The sequence below is a fragment of the Homo sapiens genome, chromosome X (assembly GCF_000001405.40).
Source record: "Homo sapiens chromosome X, GRCh38.p14 Primary Assembly".
Lineage (NCBI taxonomy): Eukaryota > Metazoa > Chordata > Mammalia > Primates > Hominidae > Homo > Homo sapiens.
In genome coordinates, this window is record NC_000023.11 from 78,318,921 (window position 1) to 78,328,835 (window position 9,915).

At 38.6% G+C, this 9,915-nt stretch overlaps 1 protein-coding gene across 4 annotated transcripts in view, besides 2 other annotated features; it reads right to left on the bottom strand.

The window, feature by feature from the left end:
- Positions 1 to 8,691, bottom strand: part of CYSLTR1 (cysteinyl leukotriene receptor 1) — a 56,144-nt gene extending 47,453 nt beyond the window's left edge. For all 4 annotated transcript variants that reach the window (NM_001282186.2, NM_006639.4, NM_001282187.2 and 1 more), the window contains exon 1: positions 8,385 to 8,691. The gene's annotated coding sequence lies outside the window, so the exon portion shown is untranslated. The remainder of the gene's footprint in view (positions 1 to 8,384) is intronic.
- Positions 4,055 to 4,144: an enhancer, noted in NCBI's record as "active region_29786". NCBI's record gives its function as "activates an Ori minimal core promoter by ATAC-STARR-seq in GM12878 lymphoblastoid cells {active_cell/tissue: GM12878}" and the evidence as "EXISTENCE:reporter gene assay evidence [ECO:0000049][PMID:35858748]".
- Positions 8,863 to 8,912: an enhancer, noted in NCBI's record as "active region_29787". NCBI's record gives its function as "activates an Ori minimal core promoter by ATAC-STARR-seq in GM12878 lymphoblastoid cells {active_cell/tissue: GM12878}" and the evidence as "EXISTENCE:reporter gene assay evidence [ECO:0000049][PMID:35858748]".

Consider the following 9,915-nt stretch of genomic DNA (forward strand, 5'->3'; position numbering starts at 1 on the left):
TCTCATTATGCCTTAGCTACTTGAAGGTGATCTATGCATCCTCTTTCACACTTAAATAATCAAGAGGTGAACCTGGCAAATTTATACTTATACTTCAAGATTTAGGTTGAAGTTATCATTCTCTATGAATACTCCCATGTGCATGGTTCATTTATTACAGTGCTGTAATTACTCTTTTTTTAAAGTTGTTTAGTTTTCTTTTTTTTATTATACTTTAAGTTTTAGGGTACATGTACACAACGTGCAGGTTTGTTACATATGTATACATGTGCCATGTTGGTGTGCTGCACCCATTAACTCGTCATTTAACATTAGGTATATCTCTTAATGCTATCCCTCCCCCCTCCCCCCACCCCACAACAGGCCCCAGTGTGTGATATTCCCCTTCCTGTGTCCATGTGTTCTCATCGTTCAATTCCTACCTATGAGTGAGAACATGCAGTGTTTGGTTTTTTGTCCTTGCGTTAGTTTGCTGAGAATGATGGTTTCCGGCTTCATCCCTGTCCCTACAAAAGACATGAACTCATCATTTTTTATGGCTGCATAGTATTCCATGGTGTATATGTGCCACATTTTCTTAATCCAGTCTATCATTGTTGGACATTTGGGTTGGTTCCAAGTCTTTGCTATTGTGAATAGTGCCACAATAAACATATGTGTGCATGTGTCTTTATAGCAGCATGATTTATAATCCTTTGGGTATATACCCAGTAATGGGATGGCTAGGTCAAATGGTATTTCTAGTTTTAGATCCCTGAGGAATCGCCACAGACTTCCACAATGGTTGGACTGCTTTACAAACCCACCAACAGTGTAAAAGTGTTCCTATTTCTCCACATCCTCTCCAGCATCTGTTGTTTCCTTACTTTTTAATGATTGCCATTCTAAGTGGTGTGAGATGGTATCTCATTGTGGTTTTGATTTGCATTTCTCTGATGGCCAGTGATGATGAGCATTTTTTCATGTGTCTGTTGGCTGCATAAATGTCTTCTTTTGAGAAGTGTCTGTTCATATCCTTCGCCCACTTTTTGATGGGGTTGTTTTTTTCTTGTACATTTGTTTGAGTTCATTGTAGATTCTGGATATTGGCCCTTTGTCAGATGAGTAGATTGCAAAAATTTTCTCCCATTCTATAGGTTGCCTATTCACTCTGATGGTAGTTTCTTTTGCTGTGCAGAAGCTCTTTAGTTTAATTAGATCCCATTTGTCAATTTCGGCTTTTGTTGCCATTGCTTTTGGTGTTTTAGACATGAAGTACTTGCCCATGCCTATGTCCTGAATGGTATTGCCTATGTTTTCTTCTAGGGTTTTTATGGTTTTAGGTCTAATATTTAAGTCTTTAATCCATCTTGAATTAATTTTTGTATAAGGTGTAAGGAAGGGATCCAGTTTCAGCTTTCTGCATATGGCTAGCCAGTTTTCCCAGCACCATTTATTAAATAGGGAATCCTTTCCCCATTGCTTGTTTTTTGTCAGGTTTGTGAAAGATCAGATAGTTGTAGATATGTGGCATTATTTCTGAGGGCTCTGTTCTGTTCCATTGGTCTATATCTCTGTTTTGCTACCAGTACCATGTTGTTTTGGTTACTATAGCCTTGTAGTATAGTTTGAAGTTGGGTAGCGTGATGCCTCCAGCTTTCTCCTTTTGGCTTAGGATTGACTTGGCAATGCGGGCTCTTTTTTGGTTCCATATGAACTTTAAAGTAGTTGTTTCCAATTCTGTGAAGAAAGTCATTGGTAGCTTCATGGGGATGGCATTGAATCTATAAATTACCTTGGGCAGTATGGCCATTTTCACGATCTTGATTCTTCCTACCCATGAGCATGGAATGTTCTTCCATTTGTTTGTATCCTCTTTTATTTCATTGAGCAGCGGTTTGTAGTTCTCCTTGAAGAGGTCCTTCACATCCCTTGTAAGTTGGATTCCTAGGTATTTTATTCTCTTTGAAGCAATTGTGAATGGGAGTTCACTCATGATTTGGCTCTCTGTTTTTCTGTTATTGCTGTAATTACTCTTTTTGCTTACATGTCTGTCACACCCATTTAGACAGTAAGCTCATAGCTCATTAGTAGCAGTGAGTTGCTTTCTTCATTTTTTGCTCTTTTCCTCTCCTAATTGGGCAACTTTGAAGAGTAACTTTGTGGTCTTAAGAGCTTTTGAGTAATAGAGCATCTAATTTCCCAGGGTGGATGTCTAGGATCAGAGGAAGGAGCACGTGTGTGTGTGTGTGTGTGTGTGTGTGTGTGTGTGTGTAAGTGCAGGTGCTGTTATGCAAGAATCTAAATAATGGTGTAAAGTGATAGTAAAATGTGGATATATCTAGTAGGGTAGAATCTATTTAAAAGAAGCCTGAAAATTCACAGAGTGCAGGGGACCATGACTCATGGATGGGCATTTTACAAATCACCAGAGAAGAAAGGAAAGGGGGTGGAGCAGATTGAATCTACACATTTGGGCAGAAAGGGAGGCAAAGATCTTAAAACAAAGACGGCATAGCGGTGGCTCATGCCTGTAATCCCAGCGCTTTGGGAGACCAAGGTGAGTGAATCACCTGAGGTCGGGAGTTTGAGACCAGCGTGACCAACATGGAGAAACACCATCTCTCCTAAAAATACAAAATTAGCTGGGCGTGGTGGCACATGCCTGTAATCCCAGCTACTCAGGAGGCTGAGGCAGGAGAACTGCTTGAACCCGGGAGGCGGAGGCTGTGGTGAGCCGAGATTTTACCATTGCACTCCAGCTTGGGCAACAAGAGTGAAACCCTGTCTCAAAAAAAAAAAAAAAGGCATAAGTGGTCTGGTGGGGCTGGAGGAGAGTTCAAAAGTGCCATATTTCAGAGACTAATGGAAATGCAAAGACTCAAGGATGTGTTTGATTATAGGGTCCGAATGAGACTGATGGGTGTTTTTGGATTGAACCAATAGCAGAGACAAAAAGATTAAATCAGTATCTGGATGTACTTTCATGATTCTATTAAGTTATACGCCTGCCAAGATTTCCTTTACCTTTCTAGTAAATGCTAGCATGCACTGGAGAGTCTGTATGTGTTGGAGGAGTGCCAACAGGAGTGGGGTGATGAAGGCAGGGCCAAAGCAGAAGAGGAAGTGGGGAGGCTGGGACTCAGGGCTCCTAAAACCGATACTTCCTCTTCTGCTGCTGAGCAGTGGCAGGATGCAGAAAACATATTTAAAGAGGGTGCAGCTCAGTGGAGCCCTGTTTTTATTTGACCAACTCCCCAGTGCCCTCTTTCCTCCTCTCCATGTAGCCTATTATTGTCAAATGAAAAAAAGTTGGTTGTGCCATCCTGTAATTCTGAGCTCAGGGAGGTTAGGGACAATGCTGTATTAATCTTTTGATACAGTAGACACTCATTAATGTTTGTTGAATCAATATCTGAATGAATAGGAGAGTCAACAAATATGAATGTTTTGTAAATTACAAAGCTCTTTAAAATGTAAATTTTTATTATTCTCTTTCTTATTCATATAAGGCTCACCTACTTTGACCACACCACCCCACAATCATATCTCTCTTTGCACATAGGAAAATGTGTATTTGATGTTTATTGAGTGATTGTTTATTGATTGACTACAGTAAAGCTACTCATCCTCTATGGAGATTTAATCTACAAACCATCAGGCTATGCTAATGATCCCAGTGACTTTCTTCCATCGTAGTAAAAGATTTGGGGGAGGAGGGCAGAATGATCCTTCCGTCTGTGATCACTTTAGCCCTATCATTACAATAAGTAGCTTTCTTACTTCATATTTCCAGGGATGTGCTGCTCACAGGGATATGCTTTTTGGGAATACATTTCCAAGGATATGTATTCTCATTGGTATTAAAAACTATGGGGGAACTGATACTTCGTTGCTGACAGCTCTCAGGTGTTTCTTCTGTAGTCTCTTATTCTCCTTAAGAGGAGAACGTCAAACCCATCAATTCAGGCCATTCTGTTGTCAGACAGTTGGAATCTAAGCACATGACACTGTCAAACCAAAAAGGACCTTGGACTGTGGCATTCAGAACTAATGACAGTGTGTCCCCTTCCATTGTACTGTGCCAAAAATGCTTTATCCTGTGTAATCAGATTAAAAGGATGCATAAGACCAGAACTTAAGGGAAATGAAAGTTAACAAAAGGCAATAGAGATCTTGAGGAGTGCATGAGTGTGGGTGACAGTGTATAGTGGAGGATACTTTCACCCCTAGTTTGGGTGATAGAAATGTGTTGCAACCTACACACATACTTTTGAACTTTTTGTAAAGCACTAAGTAGAGGGCCTTTTTCCAGGAATACCTCTATAACTCTCTACCTAATTACCAGCAGCTTGGAATCCTCTGATGTTCTGAGGTCATTGCTTACAGCTAACTCTGAGGCCTGCTTCTATCATCTTGGCATTTAGATGTCTGGCTCTTGCAAAAGAGTTGTTCTCTAGGAGATTGCTTTTTATTTAAGGCCCTTTGTCTTAAGTAAGAATTCAAATTCAGATCAAACACAAATGGTAACCAATTTGGAATGAAAAGAAGCCTTATTACCTTCTGAGGCCTGAGTATTTCCTAGGAACTTTGGAATAAGTATGTAAGACACATCTGAGATGTTTGAGTGTTGTTATTATTAGCTCAATTCTACTTAGCTTGGTGAATCCATGACAACACAAAGACAACCCTTTGTAGAAACAAACACTGTTAATCTGAAATTTATGAGAAATCTTAAGAAGTCATATACTTTAGACATCTTGAAATGCTATTCAAAACTGGATTTTTCTTTCCCTTTTAGGGAAAAGGGATTGATGAAAAATAAAAGAATGCCCAAATGTCTCCTATTTTTTCTTTAGCTCAAGGACCTCAAGTCTAGATCTGAACTCCTGTTTCTTTTCTATCAGTTCCACATATGTAGGAGCTCAAATGTCTGGGTTGTATTGATTCTGAAAGCACTCTAAGCAAGATAATGACATTTTATTCATCAAAAGGAAAATCAACTATGTGTTAAATGTCCAAGGGCTTATGTTTACTCTTCTCTCTCTTTTCCTCTATTTCTATAAGGACCTCTTCCTAACTTATCCCCCAAATTTAAAGTATTTTTTTCTCTTTTCTTCCATATGAACCCACCACCCCAATCTAGAAGAAGGACTGTGGGGCACAGAGAAAGGAGAGGTCATGATGAGATGGAGTGGGATGAGACAGAATGAAGCAGCAGGATAGAAGAATTTATACAGTGGCCTTTTCTACTAATCCATAAAGAAATCTTAATTAAAGGCAAAAGTAATTGCCATCTGAGGGTGTTTTAGCACCTTGATTGTAACATGAATTAATGGACCTAAGATGTCTGGATTTATCTAATCAAATTAGATAAAGGAATGGCTTTCTTTATTGCCTTTTCTGTAGGGATGAGGATATGTACTTCTTGCTATGAGTCTATCAGACTTCTTAGCAGTTTTTTGTTTGTTTGTTTGTTTGTTTTTTGAGACGGAGTCTCGCTTTGTCGCCCGGCTTGAGTGCAGTGGCGCGATCTCGGCTCACTGCGACCTCCACCACCCGGGTTCAAGCGATTCTCCTGCCTCAGCCTCTCGAGTAGCTGGGACTACAGGCATGCCTCATGACACCCAGCTAATTTTTGTATTTTTAGTAGAGATGGGGTTTCACCATATTGGCCAGGATGGTCTCAATCTCTTGACCTTGTGATCTGCCCACCTCGGCCTCCCAAAGTGCTGGGATTACAGGCATGAGCCACCACACCCAGCCAACAGTTTTATTTCTGCACTGCAAAGCAACAAATTGGCATACTGACTAATCTATCTTTTGTAGGGTTGACTAATATAAATATATCTTTCAACAGTTTGTTCATATCTGATTGAACTGGGAAAGCTTTTCTCACTGACCCTTAAATCATACCACATAGATGTTCATGTGGCCTGAAACGCAAATAACACTGGAGTGAGAGATAAAAGTGACTTTAGGTCTTTCTATTTTAGACACACACACACACACACACACAACTAGACATACTTATATATTTTAAAAACGTGATTTGTATTATAACCAAATCTGTGATTGAACAAGTGGTTTTATGAAAGAGTAGTGGGATATTGTGTTGCATTCAAAACTTGCTGCAAAAAACTATTTTAATCCTTAGCATATAATCCTAAGAATCAATGGGCTTGGTTAAAGTAGTAACAACAAAAGGTGGATAGTGCTTTCACAGAAATACTTTTTAAATACTACTCTTAAATATTTTATTCCTTTTAGAGTTCACATTGAGGTGTGCATAAGTATTGTAGGGCTAGTGACAACTATAATCCAGAGTGTTTGATGCTACTGACAGGTCCTAAGAGTAGGATGAGGTTGCTGAGACTTAGAGTGATGTCCCTGACCTAGCAATATAGTCTAGGGAGTAGAAAGTAGCTAGCCCTACTGTCTCCCCATGCAGTCAGTTTTGTTATATGTTTATCCACCTGGAATGAATGGAATTTAAACAAAATCCTTCTGATGGTGGTTTGTATTTTCAAGTCGCTTTCAGATTTTATATTTATCATTTTAAGAGATTTAGAAAATATTCCTATCAGCTCATTACTGCATTAGATACACAAAGGAACCAAGAAATACTAATGGCTGTTAACTTGCCAGAGAACACCCAGTTGTTTACATGTCAAAACAAGGGTGAACTCCCAGTTATCCCAGTTACCCCGTTTCTCTCCCATTGAAATCCATGCAGCAAGATAGTTTAGAGCAGCCACTGTTAGGTGTTAGGAACATGAGAATAACAAAATGGACCAAAGTAGAGGTCCATACAGGGCAATGTTATTTGGGAGATTATGATAGTTACCATTCATAGTATTGAATTCACAAGGTTGGGTATGTACCTTAAGAATCAGCACCTTCCCTTTATTATCCTTTATTATTGGTCAATTATACTGAAAATACAAATTTATAATTTTCTATACTGTGGAAGAGTCTTGCTTTTATGACAGATAAATAGTTTCTAAATGCATCAAAATTTCATTAAGGGGAGGTAGTAGAAAATGAGAATTGATGATTCTTGATTAGGAATACACTAACATGCTAGATTAAGTCTAAAAGCAAATAGCAAACTTTTCTTAACCTACCATTATCTGTGTGCTTACTGGCTCCCAAACTGACTTATTTTATTTGGAGGAACCCTGATTGGCTGGTGTAGTCAATACTTAGGGGAACTGGGGAAAATTTTTTTATCATGGATGAATGTAAATATAGCACTTGAGGTTGTTTATGATGTAAAAACAGATAGCTTTTAGTTCTAATTGAGCCATTAATAGTAAAACAACAACAGAAAACATTTCTGAATGATTAAGACTTCTGTAATAAAGTTAAAATTGTCTTGTAACAAATTTTCCTAATGTATTTTAAATGTAATACAGTCCTTTGTATTTTATAATGCATTGTAAAAATATAAATATTTTTGTTTTTAAAACAGTGTACAATCTAGTCCAGATTTAGTTACAATTTCTTTTAAAATAATCATTTGTTAGACATATGGTATCATAGTTTCTCTCTAGGTTTCAAAATAATCAGAATACTGGAAAGCAGAACCACTGAATTCAGTAGGTGGAACTTACAAACCCATTTGTTTCCTCTTGAAAACAGCCTTTTTTGTCGCTAAGTAGAAAAATGTTCCTGGCTAAAGATTTTATTAAAATGTATGAATCTTTGGCTCTGTGTAAACTTAGTCTACACCAGATGTGTCTGAGTTACTAAATAGATCATGCAATTTTCTTCTATTCATTTATAGTTGAGAGAGCTTTATTTTTACAGTCTCTGGCCAGAACTGGCCATTTTCTAGTTGTACGGTGTGTTTCAAGAAAATTTTTTAGCCTCTCTGAGTCAATTTTCTCATTCATAAACATGGACAGTAACACCTACCTTGTCTAAATTATAGGATGTTGAAAGGTTCAGGTGGGATAACAAATGTGAAACTACCTTGTGAAAATTTTACTCTCCACTGGTTTACCTTCAGTAATTACTACATATTTATTTTCCATATTGAAGGAAAATGTCACTACATTAGAGAAACTCCACTGAACCCTCAAAATGGGGATTTGAAAATGTATCTTACATTTCTGGCTTAAATTACAAAGGCACAGGAGGTTTGCGGAGTGTGTCTCCTCTGTATTTTGCCACGTTGAGCCCTAGCAGAAGCACTGAGCAATATTTGTTGACAGACTGATCATATTATCAGATTTCTGGCTAAGAAATAAAGCAGAAAGAATTCATACTAGCACCCAAACTTAAAGCAGGCAAGGCAGATAACTTATCCCCAAACTCCTGGGAATTTGCTAAAATTTACCATCAGCAACATTTTACTACATACTGTTCTGGTCTTAGTACTGAATACTGAGTCTCCTTACCTGCTAACTTCAAGGTCCACAGTTTACTGTCCTTTTGCGTTTGTTCTCAGAAGCAAGCTCCAAGTCTTCAGTAAATTCGATCTACCAGTCCTTGCAATTAATCCTTGTTGGCGAGCTGCACAGTATCTTGATACCCTGTAGGGTCGTAAAAGCACAGTCCATTCACAGAGTGCCTGCTCTATAGGCAAGCTTCTTTGCAAAGATGGGTTGCTGCTATTTTTAAGAGGGGAGAGAGCAGGGCACATTTGCTAGCCAATATATACAGATATACAGATTCTTCTTCCTCTTTCAGATTAGCCTTCAAACTGTTAAAGCACTCCCGGAGTCTGACTTCTCTGGTGCAAAGTGGGGGAGGGGAAGGGTCAAAGAGGAAGGAAGAATAGAAACTGGAGACTTGCAGGTTGCGTGTATGTATAAATAAACTTTTCTTCCTAGCTTCAGGAATAGAATTCTCAGGAAATTATTCAGCTGCTCTAAGATGGGAAGCAGGGACGAGTGTTCTCTCTTCAGCTTAGTTCTCTGTGATTTCTGTGACTGTGAGGTCATTAGACTATTTGTAGGTGGGGAAAGATAATCCTGCCAGTATATGCTAATATAACTGGCATTATGTGAAACTTGATCTTAAGTAACATAAATTTCATCTCTCCGTTTCTCTCTCTCTCTCCTTAATGACACTTGTGGCTCTATCCACATTCTAAAAAGCCTTTTCCTTTCTGGTTCCTTTTTGAGCTTTGTTTCCTGAAATCTTCATAACAATAAATTGCCTCCATTGGATTAAAACTGTTGTTTTCTTTTTTTGTCCCACTGAAGATGATCTGGAATGACTGGGCTTGCTGTCAATGGTCCTGTGTTGGAAATTTGGGGGATCAGGCAAGTGTTCTTGGCCTTTGGCTAGGCTCTGAGGTGTTAGAGCTGTGGGGTGCTCAATATGGCTTCTGGAGAAAAGGGACATAGCAGTCTGGTATGTGCTGATTGAAGCCTGGGGCAGCACTTTGATGTTAAAAACCAAATTGGTAAGATCATGATGTGAATTTGTTACATCAATTATCTTGAGTTATATTAAGAAGATTCTATATGGAGATGGGCATAAATATGTTGATGTTAACACTTTGTAAACATGCCCCATAACTAACAACTAGTTTTAGGTACTTGTAAAATATGAGCCCAGCAGTAGCCTTCTGGCTTGCTACCTGCTGTAGGAACAAAGTCATTTACTCAAATTTTGTATCTTTAGGTACAAGAATTACCTCACAACCAACCTGGGACAATCGCTTTAAGGCCCTTGAATCTTTATCTCTTTTCACAGAGTTCTGGATTGTGGTGGTGATGGTGATAGTTGGAGGAAAAGGCTATCCAACCACATTTGAAGGGATGTTAACATTTGGATTCAAGACTAGACTTTCTAATCCTCTCCTAGGGAGTTTTAGTAACTAAACTGACATTCAAACTAGTATTTCTTCAACTGAGTTTGGATCCCCAAATATCTACAGGAAAATTTATAAGTGAGACACAGAGTGAATTATCACTTTTC